Source organism: Homo sapiens, chromosome 21 (assembly GCF_000001405.40).
Source record: "Homo sapiens chromosome 21, GRCh38.p14 Primary Assembly".
Classification (NCBI taxonomy): domain Eukaryota; kingdom Metazoa; phylum Chordata; class Mammalia; order Primates; family Hominidae; genus Homo; species Homo sapiens.
The window spans coordinates 43,290,144-43,318,119 of record NC_000021.9 but is presented as its reverse complement, the minus strand read 5'-3'; the positions used below and the strand labels follow the sequence as shown (position 1 = coordinate 43,318,119).

General features: G+C 55.0%; 1 long non-coding RNA gene across 1 annotated transcript, besides 7 other annotated features; it reads left to right on the top strand.

Moving 5' to 3' along the window:
* Positions 3,406 to 4,169: an enhancer, noted in NCBI's record as "H3K4me1 hESC enhancer chr21:44733831-44734594 (GRCh37/hg19 assembly coordinates)". NCBI's record gives its function as "activates a minimal SCP1, AML or CMV promoter by ChIP-STARR-seq in primed H9 embryonic stem cells {active_cell/tissue: H9 hESC(primed)}" and the evidence as "EXISTENCE:reporter gene assay evidence [ECO:0000049][PMID:30033119]".
* On the top strand, positions 3,978 to 7,075 carry LOC124905026 (uncharacterized). The gene is made up of 2 exons (XR_007067887.1): positions 3,978 to 4,156; positions 6,243 to 7,075. It is a non-coding gene; the product is annotated as an uncharacterized LOC124905026 (long non-coding RNA).
* Positions 6,085 to 6,585: an enhancer, noted in NCBI's record as "H3K4me1 hESC enhancer chr21:44731415-44731915 (GRCh37/hg19 assembly coordinates)". NCBI's record gives its function as "activates a minimal SCP1, AML or CMV promoter by ChIP-STARR-seq in naive H9 embryonic stem cells {active_cell/tissue: H9 hESC(naive)}" and the evidence as "EXISTENCE:reporter gene assay evidence [ECO:0000049][PMID:30033119]".
* Positions 6,586 to 7,086: an enhancer, noted in NCBI's record as "H3K4me1 hESC enhancer chr21:44730914-44731414 (GRCh37/hg19 assembly coordinates)". NCBI's record gives its function as "activates a minimal SCP1, AML or CMV promoter by ChIP-STARR-seq in naive H9 embryonic stem cells {active_cell/tissue: H9 hESC(naive)}" and the evidence as "EXISTENCE:reporter gene assay evidence [ECO:0000049][PMID:30033119]".
* Positions 9,189 to 9,694: an enhancer, noted in NCBI's record as "H3K4me1 hESC enhancer chr21:44728306-44728811 (GRCh37/hg19 assembly coordinates)". NCBI's record gives its function as "activates a minimal SCP1, AML or CMV promoter by ChIP-STARR-seq in naive H9 embryonic stem cells {active_cell/tissue: H9 hESC(naive)}" and the evidence as "EXISTENCE:reporter gene assay evidence [ECO:0000049][PMID:30033119]".
* Positions 9,918 to 11,117: an enhancer, noted in NCBI's record as "P300/CBP strongly-dependent group 1 enhancer chr21:44726883-44728082 (GRCh37/hg19 assembly coordinates)". NCBI's record gives its function as "activates an origin of replication core promoter dependent on BRD2, BRD4, P300/CBP, MED14 and CDK7 cofactors, with strong dependence on P300/CBP, by STARR-seq in HCT116 cells {active_cell/tissue: HCT116}" and the evidence as "EXISTENCE:reporter gene assay evidence [ECO:0000049][PMID:35650434]".
* Positions 10,411 to 10,510: an enhancer, noted in NCBI's record as "active region_18536". NCBI's record gives its function as "activates an Ori minimal core promoter by ATAC-STARR-seq in GM12878 lymphoblastoid cells {active_cell/tissue: GM12878}" and the evidence as "EXISTENCE:reporter gene assay evidence [ECO:0000049][PMID:35858748]".
* Positions 27,357 to 27,651: a silencer, noted in NCBI's record as "tiled region #9314; HepG2 Repressive non-DNase unmatched - State 10:DNaseD, and K562 Repressive non-DNase unmatched - State 21:Repr". NCBI's record gives its function as "represses a minimal TATA promoter and a strong SV40 promoter by Sharpr-MPRA in HepG2 and K562 cells {active_cell/tissue: HepG2 | K562}" and the evidence as "EXISTENCE:reporter gene assay evidence [ECO:0000049][PMID:27701403]".

The window sequence follows — 27,976 nt, the reverse complement described above, 5'->3', positions numbered from 1 at the left end:
CCATCTGCAAGCCAATTCGAGAGCCCTCCCCAGAATACAACCTCGCCGGCCCAGATCTCAGACTTCCAGCCTCTAGAGCTGGGGAAAGAAATGCCTGCGGCTCGAGCCACCACCTACGGTGTGTTACAGCAGCTGGGGCAGACGACGTCCTTCCTTCATCCTCTCCTCTTTCCTGCTGGCTCAAGTGCCCAAGCAGCCACCTGGCTCCACGGAGAGCTGATGATAGAGCAGCATAAGGAACGACCTGATGTTCTGGCTGGGCCAGATCGCCCTCCACGTTTGTCTTTGATTTGCAGTACATTCAGGGACAGAACCTACATCTAAACCCTGAACATTCGGATGTCTTCTGCTTTGATTTCCCATGAAAGAACATCTGAGTAATTATTGTGTCTGAAACTTCTCACGCACAAGCTGGTATAGATTTCCCTGTTCTCATCTTCCCAAGTTAGGTGGGCGTTTCCTGAGGCCACCCTAACATATTATCACACACACAGCTTAACACAAGGGAAATTGGCTGGGTGCGGTGGCTCACGCCTGTAATCCCAGCGCATGGGGAGGCCAAAGCGGGCGGATGGCATGAGTCCAGGAGTTTGAGACCAGCCTGGACAAGATAGCAAGACCCCATCTCTACAAAAACTACACGTACACACAAATTAACCAGGCGTGGTGGTGTGTGCCTGTGGTCCCAGGAACTCAGGAGGCTGAAGTGGGAGGATCACTTTAACCTGGGAGGTAGAGGCTGCAGTGAGCGGTGATTGCACCATTGCACTCCAGCCTGGGCTACAGAGTGAGATCCTGCTTCAAAACAAAACAAAACCAACAACAGAAATTGATTCTCTCGCAGTTCTAGAGACCTGATATCCAAGATGCCAGCAGGGCTGTGCTCCCTCTGAAGGCTCCAGGGGAGGATGTTTCCTTGGTTTCACCAAGATTAGGCGAAACTGAGCACATTCAGAATGCGTGGCCGTAGACAATACTTCCTGGTCTCCTCCAGCTCCTGGTGGAGGAGACCAGGTTTCCCTGGCTTGTGGCTGCGCCCTCCGATCTCTGCCTCCATCATCATGGCCTTCTTTTCTGTGTCTGTGTCTCTTGAAGGACACCTGTCGTTAGATGTAAAGTCCACGCAGATAATCCAGGATGACCTTATCTCAAGATCCTTAACTTAATTACATCTCCAAAACCCATTTTCCCAAAGAAGGTCATGTTCAAAGATTCCGAGGATTTGACGTGAACATATCTTTTGTGGGCCCGTTTGTGGGCCTGTCTCTATGGGTGACCCCAAGCAGAACAGACTCACCCTCGCAGAGGCCCTTCAGGGACCTGCGGGAGTGTCTAGGTGGCAGTGGCTGCCAGGAGGTTCCCTTGGCTCTGATGCCTCTCGCCCTGGTGCCCAGGTGTCTGTCACCCAGGGGCTGCATGCCTGGATCCTGCCTCCTGGCCTGGCTGCATGGGGTCCAGAGATGTCCTGTGGCGTCTGCCTGGGTGGAGCACGTCCTTGCAGATGTTCCCTCAGCCCCCCAGCTCCACGGCTGCTGGCCCCCGCCCTGAGCTCTGTGCAGCTGCTGGGGACTCAGCTGGACTCAGGGGTCCTGAGCTTGCCTGGAAGGGTTTCAGACCCCCTCTGGTGCCTCTGCCATCCTGGGCAGTGTCCCCCTCCCGCTCCCCCACCTCTCTGGTGCTCCCCATGCCTCAGCGGGTTTGCCCCCCTCCGACACCCCCGACACCCTCCACCACTTCGGGGACAACTGGGGCTCCATGTTTTCACGCATTTCTCCTTCTGCGTTGGGAGCTGCTCATTACTCTCTCAGCTCCACCGGCCCCAGCCCAGACCCCACTCCCAAGGCAGATGTCTTGCCCGGGGTAGGGGCAGATGGTGAAAACCTCAGTGGGAGGGGCCGGCCAGTCCCTCCTGGAATCCTGCGCCCTCCACCTCCAAGCACAAGCAGGGGAAGTGCGAAGCCTCTCTGAGCCTCAGTTTCCTCCTACTGAAATGGAACCAATAAATCCCATCTTGTGGTTCTCGCGCAGATGCACAAAGTAACTGCTCTCATGAGCATGCGCCCAGCCCGCCGGCAGTCAGTGGTCCCTGGGGCGGCTGGGCCATCGTCCCTGGGTGCCGAGGCTGCCAGGCCCCTGTGAGCAGGGAGAGGTTAACCTTGCACCTGCAGGATGGGCACCAGCCCTCAGCCTCGGTCTCCCCACGGCCACACACAAGTGTAAACTTGCTTAGACTTCCCCATAGCTTCGAAGTCCCAAAAGCCTCCCCACAGTCTCTGGGCAGCCTGCAGCGTCCCAACCTCCACAGCTGAGGTCCCTCGGCCCCCACCCCGCACTCCTGTCCTGCCCTCAAATTCCAGGCATGGTGAATGGTGTCACAACCCAAGCTAAAAAGCCAGGGCACACGCTAAGTCCCCCAAGAGAAATGTGGGAGGCACCATCAGGGCCCCCATCCCTCACTAGCCGCCTGCCGAGCTCCAGCCCATTTTCTGCCCCTCCTGCCAGCCTCCCTCCTGGCTGCCTGTCCGCTGCCCACAGGGGCCCCTGCAGCTCTTCAAGGGGGTGCTTCTCTCCAAGGCGCATCCCTCCCAGTCTCCCTCCTCCCCAGGCGTCCTCCACACCGTTAGCCTCAGGCGCCTTCTGGCAGTGGCTGGGGACCCTCACTCAGGAGCCCCCTTGGGTGGGTCGCAGGACCCTGCTCACCCAGGCTGCAGCCACCTGCCCTGCTGTGTTCCCCTCACACACCCTGCTGTCGGAAAGCGCCTGCCTTCCCGCAAGTGCTGCCCTCTTCCTGCCACTAGAACACTCTTATCTGACTCCAAAACTCAGCTCTTTTTTATAATCAGCAACGAAAATTATTTGTGTGGTTTTTTGTTGTTGTTGTTTTTGTTTTGTTTTTGTTTTTATTTTATGTTTTTTTCTTTTGAGACAGAGTTTTGCTCTTGTTGCCCAGGCTGGAGTGCAATGGCGTGATCTCGGCTCACTGCAACCTCCGCCTCCTGGGTTCAAGCAATTCTCCTGCCTCAGCCTCCCGAGTAGCTGGGATTACAGGCGTGAGCCACCACACCAGGCTAATTTTGTATTTTTAGTAGAGACGGGGTTTCTCCATGTTGGTCAGGCTGGTCTCGGACTCCCGACCACAGGTGATCCACCTAACTTGGCCTCCCAAAGTGCTGGGATTACAGGCGTGAGCCACCGCACCCGGCCTGCTGGGATTACAGGCGTAGCCACCGCACCCGGCCTGCTGGGATTACAGGTGATTACAGGCGTGAGCCACCGCACCCGGCCTGTACGTGTTTTTAAAAACAACTCTGGCCCCTCTCTCCAGAGCCCCTCCAGGGCATCTCTGTGTGCTGTGCCTGTGGCTCTGCCACCCTACGAGCCTCTATCTCCCGCCCCCGCCACGATCCGGGAGGTGCCCCCCCACTGTATGACCAATACCCCAGTGCAGTGCCAACCAGGGACAGGGGTGGGGGACCCTCAACAGTGGCCTTGGGCAGCCCCACCTCGCCTCCTCCTCCTGCCGACCTTCTGAAGGGGCCTCCCCACAGCGGAACCCCACGGGGGAGGCAATGTTTTTTCATGAGAAAAAGAGATTTCCTGCCAACAATAAGAAATTGCACAAAGAAGAGTATTACAGGAGGACACAAAAGCCAGAAGGATTTGCTATCCTGCCACACTCTCAAAGTCCACACCAATCAAGACCACCAGCTTCTGTGGCTGTCTTGTTTTTGGAATGTTCTAGAAGCCTCAGACACCAGGAGAAGGAAGACCTAACTTGAGGCCCCAGAAGCCTTCTTGTTCCCTCCGGGGTCTGTAAGAATCTCCGGGCCCAGCAGGGCCTCCCCACTCTGGGGCCGTCAGGGTCTGCGGATTCTGGCTCCCAGAAGCCCCCGTGCCCTGAGGCCACCAGGCCAGGGTTCCTGGAGGGGGGTGCCTTCACCACCCCTGATGTTGCAGGAGCCCAGGGGAGGTGCACGTTGGCAGGAAGGGCCATGTCTTCCACCGCAGTGTGTAGAGAGAAGGGACTGTGGCTTTCTGGCTGTCTCCGTAACTGCAAAGTCCCCAGAGCCTTCCTCTGTCCCAGGGTCACACCAGCTTTGAAGCTCCACCCAATACGAGTCTCCCCAGCCACAATGTGGGACTCAGAATGGAACTGGTAAGTCCCAAGAAGATAACAGGGGAAGTTCAGAGGGGCTGGGACCACTGAGTCCAGAGAAGGGCAAGGAAAACCCAGACGGGGTCACTGTGGGGCAAAGGGTCCCGGCGGAACAGGCTCCAAGGGCGTGCATGTGAGCACCCTCCCTGGGCAGCAGGTGAGCCGGACCACGGCCTGGGTGGAGAGAGGCCTCCAATCTGGCCTCCAGGATAACTGTAGTTCTCCAGCTCTGTGAGATGATCAACAAGAACGGACCCCCGCCTGTCTCCTAGGAGGGTTGCCTCGAAGGGGGACACGCTCCTCACAGAGAAGCACAGGACCCTCTGAACTCCCCTGGAAGAATTTAACCCTCTCTGCCGGGGATATCTTTACCATCAGCCCCGACACTCAGGCCCTGGCTCATGCCGCTCACATTTGGGGCTGGAAAATTCCTTCTGGCAGGGGCTGTCCTGTGCACTGCAGAATGCTGAATGGTGCCCCTCCCCTCCTAAGTGTGGCAACCCAGACTGTGTGCAGACCTCACCGGAAGTCCCCGGGTCTAGACCACCCCTGGTTGAGAACCACTGATACTGCGGGTCTGGCTGGGAAAATGTGTAAACCTCCCCAGGTTCCCCTCCACATCCCAGGCTGCACGTTTAAGGACGCAGGTTCACAGGTGAAGGATTTTGTGCAACCCTGACTTCGGTGAATCAGGAGGAGGTGCTGGGGGCGGGGGTGGGCACTGGGGTGGGGGGTGGGGCAGCAGGGTTTATTCTCAGGACAAATGGAGAGCAGACCAAAGGGCCCAGGAAGGAGATGGCTACACCAGAAAACCCTGAGTTCACAGAAGGCCCAGGAAGGAGATGGCTACACCAGAAAACCCTGAGTTCACAGAAGGCCCAGGAAGGAGATGGCTACACCAGAAAACCCTGAGTTCGCAGAAGCAATCTGGCTAACACAGAATATTTGCATAGACCCGTTTGCCTATGACTGACCTAGCTTTGGGTCACTCACATGCAAATCTGTGGGGCCCCATGGGGAAGGGAGAAGCCCTTTGCTGGGAATGCTGGGGGTGGGGGAGTTGAGTGGGAGCCAGAAAAGCATAGCTGTTCCTGGACCCGCCTGTTACGGAGGGAGGAGGGCACCTGCCCCACCTACTGGGTGCCTGTCCCCACACCTGCTACTGCCCTGTGGTTTCCTCACCTGGCCAGCGCGCCTGTGTGTGTGTGTTTATGGAGTGGGGCGGCCAACTAAAATAATAGATGAGTGAGTTACCATAAAGTGGAAAAATGTTGGCATTAATAAAGAATTTTGCACTGTTAGAAATAAGAGATTTAATTTATATATATATATATAGACAGAGAGAGAGAGAGAAAGAGATGATCTCTCTACTTATGATATAAGAGCAGCAAGCAGACAGGAAGCCCAGCTCCAGAGTGGTGTTGGGGGGTCAAGGTGCCCCTCAAGGGCTCTGGGCCCGTCCTTAGCATGGGAGGGTGTGGGTGTGGCCGGTCCTCCACTGGGAGACAGTTTATGCACAGACCTCCTCATTGCCATGGAATAGCTCCAGCTACTTATTTTGATAATAGGTCATTCCAGGCATGGTATAAAATCTCAGAGGGCAGGCCATGATCTCTTCCTTACCTCTGTTTCCAGCAGTAATGGTTTAAATGGTGAGAAAAAAAGTTTTGCCTGTGGAATGTGAGTGCTTTTAATTATCAGGCGCAGAGAGACCTTAAAATGAGACAGTGGTCACACCCTGCTCCCTGCTTTGAGCTGTGTGTTCATGTCTGGAAACTGCTTCCTGTTGCCACAAGTAGCTACGGATTAACCCAGTAATGCCCCACTGGACACCGTAACCCACACCCTATATCTTAACAACATACAGCCAATCACTCATCAATGCTATTTCTGTAAACTAATGAGAATTCCTGATAGAAAACTTGGTATCAGCCGACTCCCTGACCCCCACTTTCCTTTACAAGCCACGTGAACTGCTGCTCATCAGAGTGTAGATCCAGGGCAAATGGAATCTATTGCAATCCTCAAGCTTGGCCCAAATAAACTCTCCACTTAGATTAATTTTGCCTCCGCTTCTTTCTTTTAGGGAGACAATAGTGAGCCCCTAAAAGATGCATCCACCCAGAACCTATAAATGTGACTGAATTTGGAAAAAAGATCTGTGCAGATGTCATTAAGGACCTTCTGGTGAGGTCATCCTGAATTGGAGCGGGCCCGGATCCAATGACAGTGTTCTTAGAAGAGAGGGGGAGAAGATACACACAGGGAGGAGTCATGTGAAGATGGAGGCAGAGGCCACCTGGAGCCACCAGGAGCTGGAATAAGCAACGGGTTCTCCCTGGGAGGCCTCAGAGGAGGCGTGGTGCAGCTGCCACTGTGACTTTGGACTTCTGGCCCCAGCACTGTGAGAGGATAGGTTTTAAGCCAGGCGGTTTGTGGTGCTTGGTTATGGCAGCCCCAGGCACTCACGCACCTCTCCAGAGGTGCTGCTGCCCAGGGAGTGTTCTGCATGCTGCACCTGGCTTCCTGCTTTAAGCAGTAATTTGTGCATTGCTGCACATAAAGCCACCTCCCGCTTTTTAACAGCTGCCTGACACGAATCCCACTGTCTGGGTGTAGCATGATTTATTTCTCCAGACTCTTATCTGGGCATGTTGGAGCAGTTTCCAGCTTTTGACAACTTGCAGGTAAAGCTGTGTCAGTAGACTTGTGCATATGTTATTTAGCACTTGTGTGCACCTATCTGCAGAGCTGCTGGGTGTGTGCACTCTACGTTTCTATACCTATTTCAAAGAAGGCATCACAAGTTGCTCACACCAGTAATCGGTTAGGAGCCTCTCTCCTACTCCTCACTGACAGAGGGTTCTCATGCTTTTGTCTTTGGCTGTCGGATAGATTAAAAACAGTCTTACATTCTGATTTTAACTTGCATTCTTTCTTTTTTCCCATTAGTGTGTGTATCTTTCCATATGTTTAACAGCCTTCACATTTCTGTTTTGTGAACTGTTTTTGTACTTCGCCCATTTTCTATCACTTTGTTGGTCTTCATTGCATTGATTTCTAGAACTTCTTTATGTATGAACCAAATGAAGCTTTTCCTGTGCCTTGCATTGCAGATACTATTTCATTTCTCACCTGTCTTTGTTTATGGTGGTTGTGTTTTTCACCAGGCAAACATTTTTAACTTTATTATTATTTCTTTTAATCCATGTTTATGGCTTCTGAGTTTGTGTTCTATTTCAGAAGATCTTCTCCTTCTAAAACTAGTAAAGGAAATGGCTCTCTGTTTTCTTCTAGTATGTTTATGGTTTCCAACTTTATAAAAATATCTGCTGTAGCTGTAACATATGGAGGCCTTAGGGAATAAAGTAGAAATGCAATTTTATTTTTTTCTAGAAAACTATTTAGTTGTAATTCAGTTGGTGTCTTCTGAACAACTGGAATTCATCACACTGATAGGCAAAAATCACCTCTCCTATGTCCTAACTAGGTGGGTGTGTTTGGATCCATTTTTGGTTCCTCTGCCTAATTTCTTTGCTGTCCGACTAGGGGGTCCATGTCCCAACTACTGCAATTTTATAGGCTCTATGAATGTGAAGACCTATTTTAAGATATTTCCTAATATCAAACCATCTTCAAGTCTCCTAGGTCATGGCTTACAGTTTTTAGACAATTTAATTCACATTTTTGTGTTGGTGTTCATTCATAAGATTGGCTTATGATTTTCTTTCTGTGCTTGTCTCTTTGGGTTTTGGCATCATTCTTATGGTAGCTTCATAAAGAGAATTTAGAAATTTTCTTTCCTTATTTATGCTTTGCATCCATTTAAATATTATCTGTTCCTTAACAGTGTGGTGGAATGGCCTGTGAAACTATCCGGGCCTGGAGCCATTTGTAGCTTTGTTGTTGTATCAGTTACAGTCCTAGGCATCTATAGCTATGATCAGTGGTATAGCAGGTGTGTAGTGTAATAGGAGGGAACAAGACAATCAGGGAGTGTGATGCCTGTAAAGAATCTAAAAATGATAGTAAAACCAACTATTATTACCACATCTTGCCAATTCTAAACAGTCAGCAAGAGAATACACACCCTTTTAAGAGGACCGACCGCTGGCATATCATGGAAACACACCCTCCTTCCTCCCTAGCAAGGTGGCACAACTCCTGACCCTCTGCCAGTGCGCAGCGCCCGGTTTTGTGGCTGGATTTGCATGCAATTACATTATATTCAAATCACACTAATTTATTCCCCCAGAATGAGAAGATAGAGAATGAGTGTTTTTCATCAAAATTAGTTCTGTGACACTATTAAAAAAAATATAACGGAAACTCCCAAAGAAACCCTAAACCTTCAAAAACTTGTGAAGTATGGCAGCTCCTCAAAACAGTTAAACATCGAATTACCACGTGATCCAGCAATTTCTTCTCTGGGTATATACCCAAAAGAATTGAAAGCAGAGATTCAAAGAGATATTTGTACACCCATGTTCACAGCAGGTTTATTCACAGCAGCCGACAGATGGAAGCCACTCAAGGGCCCATGGACAGAGGCGTGAGCAGGCAAAAGATGGTCTATGCATGCCAAATAGGATCTGGCCTCAGAAAGCAAGGACATCGTGACACACGCCACAGCAAGGACCAACCTTGACAACATGATGCCGAGTGACATCCTGACACACGCCACAACATGGACAGACCTTGAGAACATGATGCTGAGTGACATCCTGACACACACCACAGCAAGGACCGACCTTGAGAACATGATGCTGAGTGAAATAAGCCAGGTACACAGGGACTGACACCGGGTGGTTCCACCTGTATGAGGTCCCTGGCGGAGTCTGGTTCGTAGAGACCGGAGGTGGAACGGTGAGTGCTGGGGACCGAGGAGGGGCATGGGGAGGGAGTGTTCAATGGGGATGGGGTTTCAGTTTGGGAGGATGGAACGTTCTGGGGATGCGTGGTGGTGATGACTGACAACAATGTGGATATGCTTCATGCCACTGAACCGTGCACCTAAAAATGGCTGAAATGGCAAATTTTATCTTATGCATATTTTACCACAGGAAAATAAATAAATAAATAAAACAAAAAGTTCTTTAACTTGTTGAAAGTAGACAGAAAAGTGTTAGAAAAAACTAAACAGAAAAAAAAAAGGAGAGAAGAGATAAGTAAAGTAAAACACCAGCTGCCTGGATCTGCGGCCTGGCCAAGCTTCTCACTTGGAGGCAATCCCTGCAGGCCTCCCTGCCCCTCCCATCCACTCGCCCTCCAAGGAGACCCAGCCAGAGGGGGTCTGGAAAAGCCTCTGGCTTTGCTCACCCGGCCTATGTGACCCACAGTAATTCTGGGTAGGTTTTTCCTTCACCAGGGCAGCACCAAGCTCACACCCTCTTTACCGACCTTTTCCACCAACACAATCTCATCAGATGCTTAATCCTGGTCTTATTTCACAGACGCATGAGTTTCATTCCAGGGTCTCTGGGGTTACTTTGCCCATGAGAAGCCCTGAGAAACGGGGTGCTTTCTGTGTGGGGCATAAGTGTCCCCTGTGGCAAGAGGCCTGGCTGTCCTGGGCGGGGGTCCTTCCGGGCTGGGGTGCCATCCTTCCAGCACATCCTCCTCCTCTACACTCCCTGGGAGGGCCCAGGCTGTCCCCGCCCCATAGGCCTGGCTCCCACTAGCAGGGAAGGCCTCATCTTATCCGCAAAGGGTGGGCCTGGATCAGCAGGAAGCCCACCGTCTCCTCCTGCCTGGCACCCTCCAGAATAAGAGACAAATTACTGACAGAGGTTGCAAGCTGCTCAAAAAATTCACTCTAGAAAAGCAGGGGCTCCGTTCCCCAATCAAAGCCCTGGGGCGGATGTCCATGTTTCTAGAACCTGTAAGGTCATTCTGTGGTGTTAGCCCATGGTGAAAGAGAGTCTAGCTGGGAGGTGTAGAAAGTCTGATACGTGTGTTTCCTTTGTAGGATTTCCTTCCGTCTGGAGGAGGGAGGGGTGATCAGCAGGCACTTAGGGATGATCTCAGCGGTGACGGCTTCGTATTCCAGGGGGCTTCCAGGGGGCTGGTGTTCCTCCGCACTCTGGCCTGTCCAACTCTGAGTCCCAAATTTGGGGCTGGCAGACAGGGTCACCATGGTCGGGGGCTCCTCATTTTTGCCATGGCTGGGTGGGCAAGAGATGTCCACAGGGCTGGGGTGGACAGAGCAGCCATCCTGTGGGTCAGGTTAGACCCCAGGTCCCATTGGTCAGGGACACCCCCTCCTTAGCCCCTTATCCCTTCCTCAACTAAGACATGAGCAGCGTGTGCTCCAGGTGGGGAATTCCCATGCCAGCTGTGTGGGCAGGACGCAGCTGCCAGTGTCACTGTGGCCGGCACCCTTCCCTATTCTCACGCCATTTGCATTCTTGAGTACAGCCAGTTCAGTTTCTGGTCCTGCCCCACCCTGGCAGCCACGATACCCTTGGGCCCTGTGGTATCAGGAGAACCAGCTCCGAGGTGGGTGAGGCTCTGTCTGAGACAGCGAGTCCCAGGGATCCCCAGGGAAGTTACAGGCTTAGGAGAACACTGGGGAGCCGCTGGCCCCAGACACTTGGTGGGGCTGCCCCACCCGCAGCCAGGCTCGGAAAACCTCTCTGTGGTCTCCTGTGTGGAGAGGAGGCGGGGAGCTGGTTAGCCCGAGGCCCAAGAGCCGGGCAGATGCATGACTCAAGGTCACCTTGGGTGTGACTCATGGCCCTGCACTCCCGACTGCCATCACACTTCCAATAATAACCGTACACATCACCAGGCCCTCCTGGGCCGGTGCTGCCCTTGCTTCCTGCGCACCTGCTCATGTCGAAATTGGCTGTCATTGCACCAACTGGAAAGATGAGAAGACCCTTTCCATCCTGGCCCGACTGGGAGCACGTGACACCCGTCTTTAATTCCCCAGGAGTGTGTTTCCATGGATGCACTGCTGTGGGTGATGCTGGGCTGGCCTCGCCCTTTGACAACCAGGCCATCATGGGCGAGGGCAGGCACGCTGCATTAGGGGGTCTCAGGATACTGCTGGAACTCCTTGGGACCTGGAGATTTTGCTGGAAGACCAAGCTGTCACCGCTGGAGATTCAGCAGCCAACCTCATCCTTGGGGTGCCTGATGCTGCCTTCAGGGGCTTCTGGGTGGGGCTGGTGGAGGGAGGAGGGGCGCCTTGTCCTGTATGCCTCTGGATGATGGGGGGTAGCTCCGAGAACAGGCTCACTTCTTCCCCATGCCTGTCCCTCCGGCCACCCCTAAAAAATGCTCTAGGAGACACAGTACGCTTACCCAGGACCGGATCCCAGACCCGCTGGGGGCTGCTTGGGGCTCCCTGGCTTGTGGGGTGCTCTTGGGAGGGCTCCCCTACACGGAGGGCAGCACTCGCTCCATCCACGCTCATGCACACACTGTCAGCCAGTGGAGGAATGAAGGGTGCATGCGTGGCCCCCGGGCTGTGCCTGCCTGGGGGTCCCTTTATGCCTCCACCCCCTGGAGGAGGGAAAGGAAAGGAATTCTCCTCTTCCTTTTCTACTTTGAGAAAAGTCTTAATTCTCTTCCACTGAGCCTCAGGCCCCCGAGGCCCACGAAGTCCCAATGGGCATTCGCACAGTGGGCTCTGGCCAGGTTTGTACTGCTGTACTTTGACAGTTTCCCTGCCCCACCCCCCTCCAGCTGCCCTACGGACTGGACAGGGACCCGGGCACTGCAGGTCCCCACTCCTGGCCTTGCAGTGGTGACTGGGCAGGATCTCTCGGTGTCCGCGTGAGTGGGGACTTCCTTCTCCCCTTGCTGTGGGTGGGCTCACCCATCCCCTCTTCACTTGCTCACAAGGTGGTTCATCTGCACCACTGCAGGGCCCAGGGTGGCTGCATCGCGGCATCTCCTTGGCTCCCCAGCACCGTGGCTGCAAATGTCCTTTGCCCGCAGGAAGATGCAGAGGGGGCAGCCCTGGCGACCTCCCAGACAGCCTGCATTTACGTTCCCAGGGCCTGCCGGTGAGAAACAGCTCCCACAAACCCCCATGGTCACTGGTCGGGGCGGTGCGTCCACATCCTCATGGCCCACCCTTGCACTTCGGCCAAGTCCTGCTCCTAAAGGGAGGGGCTGCCTTGCCATCTGTTACAGGTCCCCTGTGTCCCCCCCAAAAAATATGTGGGTGCCGTGACCCTGGCACCAGCGAACGTGACCTTACTTGAAAATCGGGTCTTTGCAGATGGAAATAGTTAAATTAAGACGAGCTTCCACTAGAATAGGATAAACCCTGACCCGATGTGACTGGTGTCCCCATGAGAAGAGAGACACAGACACACAAGGGAGAGCCACGCGCAGCCGAAGGCCGAGATCAGAGGGGCGCTGTGGCTGCAAGCCCGGGGCCGAGCAGGGCAGGAGGCGAGCTGGGCTCCCTGCCCCAGGCCACGTGATGCTGCAGAGAATGCCACGAAGTCCACTGCGGTGGGAGCTCCAGGTTCCACCTGGCTGCTCTTAGTTTTCAATAGTAAATAATGAAAACCGAGTGCCTCCCAGGGAGCCCGTGCCATGCACCTCCTGGCCCTTATCCAGGTGTCTCTTGGATGCTGCGGGGCCCAAGACCATCGTGTGCTCCTGAGGTCAGGACATGTGGGCACTGGACCCACACGTGGGATTCCACCCTCCACATGCGCTATACCCGGGGAAAGCAGTGGCTCTGTCAGCAGCTGGGTAGCGGGAGCCCCACAATGGCAGGGGCGACCCAGGCGTGTCCGGTGCCACCTGCAGGCTCTCACCACATGGCCCAGCGACCTGGGTGGACCTCCCCGTCACTGCTCCTCAGGAACCCCCATTTCACTCAGCAGCCCATGGGGGAAGCAGGCGGCCACCCTGGGCTTCCAGGGTCAGGGAAGCTCAGTGACAAGGTCCTGACCCCCACCGAACACACAAGCCCTCTGTCTGCCCCTTGGCACATAAGGCCCTCAAAACATGTGTCCTTGATGTTTGCACTAATCACCAACTCCCGGACAAAAACAAATAGAATTGGCGAAGGCACTGGGTTAATTCTGCCCCCAAACAAGCTAAGCAACAGACACACTCAAGCCGGGCAGGCGTCCTGAGGACCCACAGCCACCCCGGACACAGAGGCTCTGCCTGTCTGGACCACGGGGGCTCTGCTGACCCCTCCCGGGGGCAACGGTGTGGCCGGTGATGCCCGGGGCTCTGTGGTCAGAACCATCACGTATTTTCTAAACAGACCCCACAGACCCTCTCAACAGCAGCAAAACGTGCTGATATTTATCTTCCTAAAATACTTGTTCAAAAATATGCATGGGAAAAGTTCTAAACACAGAAATATGCTGCCAGTGCCCTTCAGAAATGGAGTGCCTTCTTCAAAACACCAGGAAGTTCCAGAGGAGACACTGGGGAAACTTTTGCGTGTCCTGTGTGAGTTCACACGTCCTGTGTGAGTTCACCGGGGTGGCCACCACAAAGGACCCCAGCCGGAGGCTCCAGCAGCAGACGCGGATCTTCTCTTGTTCTGGAGGCCGAAATCCAAGGTCAAGGCGTGGCAGGGCCAGTTCCTCTGAGCTCCTCCCCTTGGCTTTCAGGTGACCGTCTTCTCCCCGCGTCCTCATGGGCGCCCCTCTGTGCCTGTCTCTGTCCACCTGTCCTCTCTTTATAAGGACACCAGCCATGCTGAGTTAGGGCCCAACCTCACGCCTCCTTTTAACTCATCTCTTTAAAGACCTTATCCAAATAAGGTCACGTTCTGAGGGTTAGGGCTTCGACATATCATTTATGCGGGACATAGTTCAGCCTGTATCCCCCTACGAGTTCCCCTGCACCCCAGATTTGCACGTTCACCTGCGGAGTCTTCTCAGTGCTTTTTCAGGTAGAAACCATGGAGGTAGGAGGTGGGACTTGACTCCGGACCAGATTGAGGACTGTTGAAACAGGAAGGAGTCAGGAGCACCTCTCCATAAGACACGCCCGCCAGGGCCATGGCCACACCCAGAAGTTACCACCCCTTTCCATGGCAATGACCAAGAAGTTGCCTCCTTTTTTCTAGACATTTCTGAATAACTCACCCCTTAATTTTCATATGGTTAAAAACGGGTATAAATATGACTGCAGGCCTGTCCCTGAGCAGCTGCTCCCCATGCTGCGGGGCTGGGGGAGGGGCTCTGCCCTGCAGGCACAGTCACGGAGCTGTGACACGGCCACCTCAGTGAAGCTGTTTCCTTCCACCTCCCGCTCGCTCTGGAATTCCTCCCTAGTGAACCCAAGAACCTTCCTGGGCTAAGCCCCAGCTTTGGGGCTCACTGTCCTGCATCAGTTCCAGAGGAAGAAACTGAGGCCATGAGAGCTTTTCCAACACAAGGCAGAGCAGCCACGGGTCCCCTGCTGAATAATCGCTGCCCGTGATAGGAGCCTCACCTTATCATTGACACCCATCTGCAATGCTGTTCCAAACACCCTGCCTGCCAGTGCCGAGTGGCTGAGAAAGGACACCGTGGCGCCAAGCATACGCCGGGCCTGTCCCGCCACATCAGACTCCAGCATGCAGCAGTCACTGCGGAACATCAGACACGTGTCTCCAGGCTCGTGTCCTTGGGCAGCTCCGGGGTCAAGAGGGGGCTGACGGAAACCTCGAGGCGAGCTTCAGAATTCTCCAGGCAAAATTCTCTCCTGTTTGGGGAGAGGATGGGGTCCACAACGGGGTCAATGGCAAAATTAGTATGACACTAAGCTCCTCAGAGTTTGGTCAGCTCCCACACTGACTGACCCAGGAAGTCCCAGAGCAGCTCAGGGATAGCCACGGCCACGTGAGTTACCGTCAGCAGCCCCTAAATGGCGTCCACACAATAGTGTTGCAGGAAATGAGGAGAACGGGGATCAAGTACACATGATGTATGTTTTAGGGTTGATACAGGCAGAGATGGGGACACACAAAACACCCACCCGGCACTCCTGCAGGGCCGGCCCGAAGCCGCGCTGTCCTGAGCTCTCCAGGCCGGGCCGGGCTCTGCCTGCACAGAGAAGCCTGGGGGTGGAGGCTGCTGAGTCAACGAGGGCTCTGGCGGATTAGGAAGTTTGGGTCAAATCCCCAGGTCCACCCCTCAAACAACCCACCTCATCAAGGGCTCTGCATCCAAAACAGAGCCAGGTGAGGGATCCCCCAAAACAGAGCCAGGTGAGGGATCCCCCAAAACAGAGCAAGGTAAGGTAACCTAGGGAGAGGCCCTCTCTGCCGACACAAACCCATCTCCCTTGAGTGGACGCAGAAGCCAGGCTGAGTCTAGAACTGGTCGGTCAGTGCTGGCACAGCACTTCTTCCTGGGGCACCCCCAGGACGGGGCTGCGCAGAATCAAATCCCACTGCGTTTTCCTGGCTGGCCCAGCGAGCTCCCTTTCCAAATAGGTGGAGGGAAAGCCAGGATGTGTCTCCTGAGTTAGCTGGAGGGACGCTGAGGTACAGAGCAGCGCAAAGGCAGAGCGCGGCATCTTCCCACTGGCAAGGTGTACGGTCCTCCTTTCTGACTCATTGGCCAGCATGGAGGGCCCACTCAGAGGCAGCCCCTCTCCTTGGCCTTGCCCCTCAGCCTCAGGGGCAGGTGGGGTGTGCTGTAGCCTCAGGGAGGCTTCCGGAGCCCTGGGCCTTGCGCTTTGCTATGTGACTTGCTCGGGCCTGTGGGTGTCGGTGGACTTGGTACAAGCAGTGCTGGGGTGTGTGGGTGCAGCCAGGTCGGCCCCTGGTGCTCTGTGTCACTGTGGCCGTGTGTCCTCGCCAGCCCATGGGCCAACGGAGATGAGGACGAGGATCGGAGCTGCAGCCCACCTGCAGCCCGGAGCTGAGCTGGGAGCTGAGCAGGGCACGTGCAGCAGCTGTAGCTGGTGAGCAGGAACCATAGGCGGTTATTTCAGTGTTTCCATCAGGAGTGTGTGTTACACAGCACTAGCGTGACAACAGCTGACTGAAGGGGCCTGTGTCTGCATCACCAGGTGTACCCCGCCTGCACCCCCACCACCCTCATGGACCCCCGTCCACCAGGTGGGCTGAAAGGTCCTGACAGGCCCAGCCACCATCTCCCTGTGATTCCCGCATGGACCAACTCAGGCAGGGAGCCACTTTCAGCCTCAGAAGAAGGCTCCCAGGAAGCTCCACACATTCCGTGCTTTCCCCTTGCTTGGTTTTTATTTCCCTGGTGAGGAGGCCCCCGTTCGCTTCTAAGGAACGAGTCCTCCCAGGAGAAGGATGAAGGCGGGCTCGCCATGGTCCATGCTGATTCACCTGCACTGCCTGAGACCTCCGTCTCAGCAGCTGTCACTCACTGTGCAGGTTTGAGAACAAGTCCAGCAGCCCCGAATCTGGTGGCTGAGGGGTGGCGGGACAGGCTCTCCTGTGGAGCAGCCCCTCTTGCTCCAGGACCCTCGATTCACCCCGGGCCCCAGGTTCCAAGGCGGGGTCGTGTGCTGTGCTGTGGGGCAGGGGAACGGCCCCTTGCTCCTCCCCCAGCTCCTGTTCAGCCCCTGGGGTTGTCAGGCTGAAAAAGCAGCCCTGTTCAGCTTGCCTGCATTGACGCAGCTGTCTACTGGCTTGTTTCAGACAACAGGTCCACGCAGGCCTTGCTCCTGAGCTCGGGCCCCAGGCACACGCCCACACACGGCCAGGCGTGTGCACACTCGGGCAGTCACGTAGGATGAGCATGCCTCGGAGCCCTCGTGCGAAGGCAGCCAGGCCTGGGAGAGCCAGGCAGCTTCCCAAGGGGGCTCCGGAATGCGTCGTCTGCAGGGCAGGGACGGGGACCCGGCAACCCGGCTTCCGGTGGGACTCATGCGGCTGACGCCTCCGCTCTTGGGAACAGACGGGCCTCTGAACTGGAACGTGGAATACAAGGGCATTTTTTATCCTGAAACAACAGCTCTGTGGGCGAACTCGAGACGCCCTGGAAAAGTGTGGAAGCTCAGGCTGCCGGGCCAGCAGGGGCCTGTCCTGAGCGCCGGGCTCCAAGGCCCTCCCTGTTTGCCCTCAGGAAAGGGTCACGCTCCAGCCACCTCAGTCCCGCTGAAGAGTCAGCTCTCCCGGCCCATGCCGCTCCTCACCGGCCAGGAGTCCACAGTCTCTGAGGCCCCCAGCTTCCGCACCTGCAGCTGGGCATGGCAGCTCACACCTGTAATCCCAACTACTACTACTGAGGCAGGAGGATTGCATGAGGCCAGGAGTTTGAGACCAGCCTGGCCAACATGGTGAAATCCCATCTCTACTAAAAACACAAAAAAATAGCCGAGCGTGGTGGCGCCCACCTGTAATCCCAGCTGCTCGGGAGGTTGAGGCAGGAGAATCACTTGAACCTGGGAGGCGGAGGTTGCAGTGAACCAAGATTGTGCCACTGCACTCCTGGACAACAGAGTGAGACTCCATCTCAAAAATAAATAAATAAATAAATAATAACAGCGTGAGAGCTAGCGTAGGAGGAAGCGGGGAGATGGAGGGGGGCTGGGGGTGTCGGAGCAGCCAGTGTCGTTTCCAGTGGCTGGAGTCCCAGAGCCATTTCAGGCCTTAGGGTGACATCTTAGTCATGATCTAGGTTGGGAGCACAGCAAAGTACCAGAAGCCCGCCCCCAATGTCACTAAATGGCACACCAGGCTGGGCATCCCTGCCTCCAAATTTTTTTATGTGAGAGAACAATAAGCATCTCTCGGGGTTTACGGATATTTTCCTGGGCCGTCCGCTCCCTGGCGGTTTGGACTGAACGTCCCGGACCAGCCCCACGGCCCCACCCGCCATACACACTTGTCTAAACAGATGGGCCTGGCGCTCGCTTCCGTGGAAAACCATCATCACCTGACCTTGGGCCAAAAGTAAATACATCTCAAGAGTTTAAATAACAGCTCCCCCCAGCGAGGTGGAATTGTTGGAGAGAACTTTTGAAATCATAACAAACAGACCCTCGGTGGTGCGACCTCAGGCCCCGAGAGTCAAGTGTGAGGAAAGAGGTCATGCCGGTGTGCACGGGCACTGCAGGCCCAGGGGCAACTTCTTCCCTGAGCCTCCATCTGCAGGTGACAAGTGCAGCTCCTGAGGTGGCCGGGCCAGCGAGCTTCCTTGGGGGCTGACCGTAGGGAGGACTCAGCTAATTGGAGCTGCTCAGCCGTCCAGTGCCCCCAGCTGCCATCACAGTGGCGTAGTCGAGCTCCTGGGGAAAGGCTGGGGCCCTGAGCGGGAGGAACAGCATCCAGCCCTGGGCAGCCCAAGCTCCGTGTCATCTCGGGGGAACCTAAAGCTCAGGACACAGAGGGATTCTGCCTCCCAAGCCCAGCTGTGGGACGTGAGACCTTCCCGCTCTCTCCCTGCCGGGCTCTGAGGACACTGGACAAGCAGCAGGCCTCAGCTGAAGCTGGTGATAAGACAGGCTCCGCGTCCACACTGCCTGGCTGCCCTCCAGCTGGGAGCACCGCATCTGCCCCTGTGCCTGGTTCTGAGGCTGGAGAGAAGAGCAGAGGGGCTCGGGGAAGAGAAAGGCAAAGAGCCCCTGAGTTTGCTTCCCTGGGGCTGCTGGCCTCGTCCCTAGGGGCTGGAGCGGGTTTGGAAGGCCCCTTGCCTGGGGGTGTGGGAGTGCACAGTACTGCCGCGTGAGAGTGTGTGTGCACAACTGTCAGTGAAGTGTGTGTGATCGGCCCATGGGGGTGTGTCAGCGTGACTGCGTGCCACGCTGTGAGAACGCACAAGTGTGTCTGTAAATGCACGCGTGCGTGTATGAGGCGGTGTCGGAGGGTGCACGCGTGCATGTATGAGGCGGTGTGCGAGGGTGCACACATGTGCTTATGAGGCGGTGTGTGAGAGTGTGCATGTGCATGTATGGGGCGGTGTGCGAGGGTGCACTTGTGTGTATGAGGCGGTGTGGGAGAGTGCACTTGTGTGTATGAGACACTGCGAGGCTGCACGCATGCATGTATGAGGCAGTGTGGGAGGGTGTGCGTGTGCATGAGGCGGTGTGGGAGGGTGCGTGCGTGCGTGTATAGGGCGGTGTGTGAGGGTGCACGTATGCATGAGGCGGTGTGGGAGGGTGCACGTGTGCATGAGGCGGTGTGCGAGGGTGCGCGTGTGCGTGTATGGGATGATGTGCAAGGGTGCACACGTGTGTGTATGGGGCGGTGTGCGAGGGTGTGCGCCTGCGTGTACGGGGGCGGTGTGCGAGGGTGTGCACCTGCGTGTATGGCACGGTGTGCGAGGGTGCACATGTGGGTGTAGGAGGCGGTGTGCGAGGGTATGTGTGCATGGGTGTGGGTGAATGATGTGTGTGGGTATGTGATCATGTGTGTCGGTGTGAATGTGTGTATCACTGTGTGTGTGTGTGTCCATGCGTGCTTCTACCCAGAGACAGAGCCTCCTGAAGCCCGGCCTGGCCCCCTGGGCCGTGGCCTCAGACCTCTCTGGGCACAGCCCCTCGTATCCACAGCTCATCTACCAGTGTTGGTGATTGACCAAAAACTGCCACTCTGTCTCTGGCAGTGGGCAATCCTTGTGCTTTTTCCAAAGAGAAGTGCCTGTTTCCTTAAGATTCCCCACTGCCAAAATCTCCAGCTCTGGCCTCTGATGTCTCAGCACAGCCAATGCCAGACAGGAATCTTTCCCCGACAGGGTCAGGCCCCCAGTGTGGGGCAGCCACAGCACCCAGGGAGGAGCCTGGCCGTACTCGGCCCCTCCCGTGCCTCCTCCACACCTGACCACCGGCAGCGGGCAATGCCAGGGTCGGCGTGCAAGGGCATTGGTGTGGAGGTGGCACCAGGCTCCTGCATCCTGGCCCTGGAGCCTGCAGTCCCCTCAGCCAGGATACAGCCCCATGGTCCTCAGGAGTGGTCAGTCGCCTGGGAAAAGGGAGGCAGGGCCGAATGCAGAGCCTGCCCATGCCCTGCTCAGGCCCCGAGCCCAGTCCAGGGTGCCAGCCCCCTCCCAGGCCTTCATGAGGCATCTGGGCCCTCTGCTTCCACAAGTCATGATCTGAGGTCTGGTGTTTACAGCAGAGGAGGTCTGGGAGCCCAAACCCCCAGGCGGTAGAAGGAGGGCCGGCGTCGAACTGCACAAGGCTGCCCAGGGCCCCGGCAGAGTAAAGCCACAGCGGCTGCCTTGCCAATGCCCATGGCTGTCGAGGGATGGCCAGGGTGGAGAGGGATGCCTGCCTTGCACGATATCTGCATGTGGGCAATGGGGACGGCCCCTCCCTGGCATGCCTGGAGGAGACAGTGATGCAGGTGCCAGGCGTGGGGAGGGGAAAGGGCTTTTGACATGAGTCCGGCTGGTTCCACACATCAGCCTGTTCCCCCAACCCCTCCCAACCTCGTAACATGCAGGTCAATGACACACGTGGTTGGCTCAGGAAGCGCAGCCACTGGTGTGACCCCTGGAGACCAGGGTGGGTGCCCCCACTAGCTGGGGCTGACGACATGACTGACGGTGATCTCTGACCACAGGGCAGGGTTTGGGGAGAGGCCGCTGGAGCTCCTGGGGGCAACAGGGAGGCTGAGAGGGACCAGGGGCCCTTCCGGCCACCTTTGATAATTTCTTCTAATGAGGTGACTCATGGAGGGCCCCTAGGTAGTTTATGCCGATGAGGTGATTCTGGGTGGGGGCTGGCCTCCCGAGGAGGACCCAGAACGTGATTAGAGGGTTGGGACTTTGCACCAGTTGACATCAGCCTGGTCTCTGGTGTGCGTAGGGGTCCGGAGCCTGAGTTTAGCTATGGGGACGCCTATGCAATAAAACCCCGATAAAAAACTGGACACCAAAACCTTAGTGAAATCCCCAAATGACAACACTCAAAGAATATTGTCCCATATCCATGTGTCGGGAGGGTAGCGTGCCCTGGGGACAGCAGAAGCTGGTTGCTCAGCTCCCCAGACCTCATCCTCTGCACCGCTGCCTTTGGCTACCCTGACTTGTATCCTTCTACTACAATGAGTGTCTGCTGTCCTCACAGGCACAGGGCTCTCCTAAGCTCTGTAAGTTGTTCCAGTGAATTATCGAACAGGAGGGAGTCCATGGGGACTCCACATCTGCAGCCCACTGGTAAGAAGTGAAGGTGACCCTGGGAACCCCCAAATTTGCAACTGGCATCTGAAATGAGGAAAGTCTTTGGAGAACTGTGTCCCTGAACTTGAGTTTGGCTGATTCCAGGTAATATCCAACAAAAGACTTGCATCCAGATGGACAAATTCCCACAGACCAATAAGAAGAAAACTGACCACCCAATTTTAAATAAACGAGTGAAAGGCTTGCAAAAACACCTCCCCAAAAAGTTTATGCAAAGGCCAAGAAACAGGTGAGAAGCACTTGACAACATCAGTCATTGGGGACATGCCAACTCAAGCCACCGTGAGATCACACTACCCACCAACAGCTGCAGAGGAAAGGCCCCCTTACACTATCGGTGAGTGTGAAAATGGTCCCACCACTTCAAAACATCCCTTGCTAGTGTCTGCTGGGCATCCAGTGACCCAGCAGCTCCACGCCTGGGTGTGCACCCAACAGCAGTGTGTGGTTACACACCAAAAAAGTCATACGAGAATGCTTGTGGCATCATTCCTCATAATAATCAAACACTGGAAATGGCCAGTGGCCTGTCAAGATTGAGTGCGCAATCCGTGATCTGTTCACACCGTACAACAGTCCACAGCAGTGAACAAGAACAAGATGCTGCTGCACTCGACAATAGGCACACTATGACATGCAAGAAACCACTCAAGAAAGAGTACACAACACACCACGTGACTCCATTTGTCTATTCTGCCTATATTCAAGATTAGGCAGAACTAGTCTATGCCAACAGACATCAGGGTAGTAACTACCTTGAGGGGCTGGTATGGACTGGAGGGGGCCCCCAAGGGCCCACTGGGTCCCTGGAAATAGTTTACATCTTGATCTGGGCACCTGTTATACAGAAATGGCAGGCTGTGTTTTCCAAAGATGACTGCATAGATGTCTCCCATCCCACAAGCTCTTTCCAATGTGACCTTGAGAAGCCTCCTATTGAGAGTCAAGGTCTATATCCCTTCCCCTTGAACCTGAAGAGACCTTTGTGATCTCCTCGACCAAGAGTATCATGGAAGTAACTCTGTGTGACTTCCAAGTCTGGATCACAAATATGTCATGTGCCTCCTCCTAGCTCTCTTGGGACACTCCATCAAGGAATCCAGCCGCCATGTTGTGAGGAAGCCCAATCCAATCCATGAGGAAGCAACACAAGGAGAGGCCATGTGTAGGAGTTCCAGCCACAGCTCCCCAGAGATCCCAGCCAGCAGCAGCCAACAGACATGTGAGAAAAGATGCTCCAACTTCATGCACCCCCAGGCTTCAGGTCACGCCCAGCCTTCAACTCTTCGCAGAAATCACTGTGCAGAGGCGAGCTGTCCTTGCCTGCCTGGCTGGCCTCCAGGTCCACAGAGTCCTGAGCACAACAGAAAGGCTACGTCATGCTGCTCGGTTTTGGAGAGGTTGTTTATGCAGCACGTGTAATCGGTGTAAGTGAGCACATTTGTAAAGAAAGTAATTGAAATGTACCCTTGAGGCTTGTGCACTGTACTACGAGTAAGTTACGACCCAATTTTCAAAAGGAACAGCTGAACACATTTGAAGAAGAAAAAGAAGGAGGTGGAGTTGCCCCATCAGTTGAAAAGGCTAATCATACAGCTATAATACAGTGTGATGTGTGGTATTGGCCCAGGATAAACAAATTGATTAATGAAGCAGAATACAGAGCCCAGAAATACACCCACCCACAGATGGGCTTGTACATAGGGAAGTGGTGTGTGGGTCCCTGGGGAAAGTCGTTTGATAAATAGGACTGAAAAACCACATTAAAAAAAAATTAGATTCTGTGTCCACACCGTATACGGAAAGTATCTCCAAACAGATTAAGAATCGAAATGTCAAAAGCAAAGATTTAAAACTTATAGGAGAAAATATAGGTGGGTATCTATGTGACCTCACAGTAGGAAGGGATTTCTTATACAAGACACACGAAATATCAACAATATGAAAGGAAAGATTGTTACAGTTGACTTCATTCAAATTAGGACTTTTATTCATCAAACTACGCCTTAAAGAAGATACAGAGACAAGCTACAACCCAGAAGACAAGATTCACCACACAAAAAAATTAAGAAAAGACCACTGTGGAGAATGTACAAATATCTCCTACAAGTCAATAAGAAAAAGCAAATGACCCAATAGAAAAATGGACAAAGGTCATGAACGGGCATTTCCCAGAAGAGGAAAAACACATGGCCAGTGAGTGATAAGAGGGGCCCATTCTCACTGTTAATTGAGGGACACAACTCAGGACAACATACGATTTTGCGTGAATTTGATTGACAACAATTTAAAGTTTTTTGATAATTCTAAATGTTCCAAGGATGGGGATCAACAGCACCCTTGCACACAGCTGGCAAAGTGTAAGTCGATGAAGTCGATGCAAGCATTTTGCAGAAACTGCCAGGCATCACCTTGTCAAGTCAGGATTTTGCATTTCCAAGATCCAGCTTTTATTCTTAGCTCTCCACCCAGGAGAGACCCTGCAGGCGTGCCAGGAGCTCAGTTGGCAGGAGGAAGCCCCGGAGCAGCCCACACGTCGACAGTGAGAGGAGAGAAGGACGGATCACTCATGATAGGATCACACAGTGGAAAATTCTACAACCACGACACTGAATGAACTACAGCGCAGACAGAATACGAACAAATCTTACCAGCATCACACTGAGCAGGAAAAGCCAATCTCAGAAAGCTGCTGAAGAGCGACATCCTTTTTATGATTTTCATAAATAAGCCAAACTATTTAAGTATACACACACACACACACACACACACACAAACACCCCTGTACCATAAGACTGAAAATCAAACTCCAGCACCAGGGATGGAGTTGTGGTTACCTCTGATGGAGGAGGAGGGGCTGGGATGGGAAAGGTCAGACCCAAACAGAAGTGACTACATTTCAGCTTTTGGGTTGGTCATTGGTGCCCAGTGTTCATGATATAATCACAATAATAATATAGGCCAGGTGCGGTTGCTCACACCTGTAATCTCAGCACTTTGGGAGGCCAAGGCAGGCTGATCACGAAGTCAGGAGTTCAAGACCAGCCTGGCCAACATGGTGAAACCCCGTCTCTACTGAAAATACAAAAATATTAGCCAGGCATGGTGCCACACACCTGTAATCCCAGCTACTTGGGAGGCTGAGGCAGGAGAATCACTTGAACCCAGGAGGCAGAGTCTGTAGTGAGCTGAGATCACCCATTGCATTCCTAGGCAATGGGCAAGACTCCGTCTTGGAAAAAAGGATAAATAAAATAAAATAAAATAATAAAACGACAGCTGAGCATGGACCAGTGTGAGAGTGTGCTGTGACCATGGATGATAACTCCAGTTCGTGCCCCTGGATCTGGAATCTGTGTAAACCATGGTAAAAAGAGAGAGGAAGAAATGAGCAGGTGCAGCGCGGGGGTTCCAGGGCCGTGAAGTCTGTGCGACACTACAATGGTGGGTGCGTGTCGTACATTTGTCGAAATCCACAGAATGTCCAACACCAAGAATGAACCCCAGTGTAAACTACGGACTCGGGGTGGTAAGGGCGTGTGCGTCACCACAGCACAGCCCACCGTGGCCGCAGAGGTTAATGGGGGAGGCCGAGCATGGAGGGTCGGGGTGTATGAGAACCCTCTGTGCCTTCCACTCAGTGTCACTGCGAACCTATGATTGCGATAAAAAACAAAGTCTATTAAGAAATAGGACAGGGAGGGAATGGAGGAGGGGGGACAGGGAGGGAATGGAGGAGGGAGGAAAGGAAGGAAATGGGGGACAGGGAACAGGGAGAGAATGGAGGAGGGAGGACAGGGAGGGAATGGAGGAGGGGGGACAGGGAGGGAATGGAGGAGGGAGGACAGGGAGGGAATGGAGGAGGGAGAACAGGGAGGGAATGGAGGAGGGAGGAAAGGAAGGAAATGGAGGAGGGAGAAGCTGCAGTAAACACGTGTTATCCCACATCCTCTACCTCTTTGTATTAGGGGAGCGGCCAGCTCCACTGTGACTTGCACCTCTGCTCTAAGTCACAGGCCCTGTCTTCCACCCAAGGACCTGCTACGTTGGGAAGTCCACCCACTCCAAGAACGGAACCTGGGAGACGTCCCCTGGCTTTTCCTTGGCAAGAGGTGTGGGGATGTGGGTGTGTGAGGGGGTGTAGGTGTGTGCAGGACAAGTCAGTTCTGAGTGCATCCTGGTGGGCTCTGCAGGGATGCTGTGGCCATCCCATGCCTCAGCTGAGCAGGACAGCTGCCCTTGCTCCTGCCTTCACATCGCAGGGGAGAAGCTCCAAAAACAGCCCACTCTGCTCCCACCAGACCCACGTCTTGGAGCAACCACTGGAGCTTCGCTTTCATTCCCGGAGCGCTGTCCTCGGCCTTGCTGTCTCGGCCTTGCTGTCTCGGCCTTGCTGTCTCGGCTTTGCTGTCCTCGGCCTTGCTATCAGCACTTTCCTAGAGGCCGGAGGGGTGGCACGAGGGAGTGAAGACCCTTGCTCAGCTCCCGTCCCCTTTGGCAGGGACGCCACCGTTGCTGGGACATGAGGCCTTGTTGGAATCTGCAGAGCAGGTCTGGCCATAGCTAAAAGGCTCTACCCCAGCCAGAGGCGGCAGGTGATGGGGACACCATGGGCTGGGCAGCCTAGTGTGCCTGGAGCTTTGACGAGTCTCCCGCCTGGCGGGCCCTTGTGGGTGGGTGGGTGTGGACACTCTGTGAGTGGAGGGTCCCATCAGTGGCCCTGGCCCTCCCTAAGAGGACTCTGTGGTGACAGCCCTCCCATTGCCTGGCAGGGACTTTGGCCTCTGGGGGGAAGGTAATGTGCTCAAAGTCTGAGGAACCTTCGGGCAGACCCCCTTCCCGGAGGGAGGTCAACCTAAAACTTGTGCAACTTGACATATGGAGGTGTGGTTTTTTTTTTTCCAAAAAATGTCTCCCAGGGGCTCATTTACCAACACCTCACATCCAAATGCTAGAAGTGGCCATCTGCCAGCCACCGCTGCCTGGGCCCGGCCTTCCTGGGGGCCGCTGTTCCCCAAAAGGGTTCTGTGCACCATTCACCCAGCTCCAGCCTGCCCAACCTCTCCTGTGCCCCCGGAGGGTCACTGGAAGAAATCCTCTGACCTGGGACTAGAGCTTGGGCTGCAGGGAGGAGGGCAGGCATGAAGTGCCCGGCCCCTGCACCTCTGATCAAGGCCCTTCCTGACAGCCTGGGAACCTGTCTGGTGGCTCCTGGCGATGCCCAGTTCACGGCAGGTGCCTGGCTGAGAGTGCCGGGGGCCCAAGCTCTCACTCCTAATAAGTGTGCCTTGGGGGCTCATAAACAAGTCCAAACGAGAACCCGAGGACCCTGGCTGAGGACCCTGGCCTGAGGGGACTCACGGGCATGTTCACCATGGCCTCCAGGGTCCCACACACTCACTTTCCTTCTGCCCTCTTCTCTGAGTGAGGCCAACCCCAGGAGGGTGGGAACGGGTCTCTCTCGGTAAAAAGAATCAGAGTTGATGCCGGGGATTAGGAAGAGAGACCATGTCCCTCCTGTGGGGGGATCTGCCCCTCCTCCAGGACGTGGTGTGGGGGTCACAGCAGCCCTTGGAGGTGCTTTCCAGGGGGACACTGCCTGGGGCCTTGTGTCCACTGTGACACTCCGGCCGACCCTATGAGGATGTCCCAGTTCCTTCTGTACGGCGAGGGGCCCTGGCACAGTGAGGCTGAGCCAGGCCCTGGTCCACCACTGCCCCTGCCGGTGACCGCTGTGGATTGGGGTCATGGCCGCCGGGAGGAAGGCGGTGGGGACAGTGTCAGCACCCGGGCACGGGCCGTGGGCACCGTGGCCCCAGCAGCACCTTGGCTCCTGCCAGCGGCCGGCTGTGAGTCGCAATGTATTTTGTGCCTTCCCTGAGTTTGTTTTCTCTGGAAAGCGGGAGTAACAGCAGCATTCACCTCGGGTGGGCGTCGTGGGAGTTTGAGGGGATCACACTCAGGGGAGTGCGTTGTGTACGCGGACTGCTGCCTGGACAGGGACAGCCGTGGCCATCTGGGTTCTTGTGGTACCCTCTGGAAGAGGGGCCGAGGTGGCTGGGGCGCCAGCCCTTCCTGCTCCCATCTGAGAGCCCCGGGTGTGATGAGGACTGTCAGGGCGGCCACCATCCAGCTCTGAGAGGGGGGCACAGGGGAGGGCCCAGGAGGAGGATTAAGCCAGAAAGACCAATCTCATGGGGAAATGACGGAGTGGAAGCTGGACAGCTCCCTCACACCTGTGCGCACAGTTGGCCTGCAAACAGCCTTTCTCCGCTTCCTCTTTTGCCTTTCGAGATCAAAAGAACAGCTGGCCTGGGCTTGCTGCTGGGATGCGGGTGGGGCTCTGGGGGGCAATTAGCAAGGCTTTGAAAAGGGTCTTGAATGGACAGGGATGCCCATAATCGGGAAGCAACTTCAGTGGAAAATAAAACCTCCCGGGTAGCTTGCCAAGCAGAAGCAGGAGATGAAGGTCGTTTTGTGTGCACGCCATGGCTCCCAGCCTGGGGGTCCAAGGCCAGTGTGCCAGAAACTGCCTGGAAACTGCAAACACAATGGGACCCACCAGGGAGGACACCCCCTCTCCAGGGCCAAGGGCCAGCAGGGAAGTCCCAACTGCAGTAAGGTTTCCAGTGGGGCCTGCTCCAGAGGAAAAGGGAGACCCTCCCTGATCTGAAGGTTCAAGTTCATTGCCAGGAAGCCGCCCCCCTCAACCCGCCTGAGCTTGTGGGGACCCTCC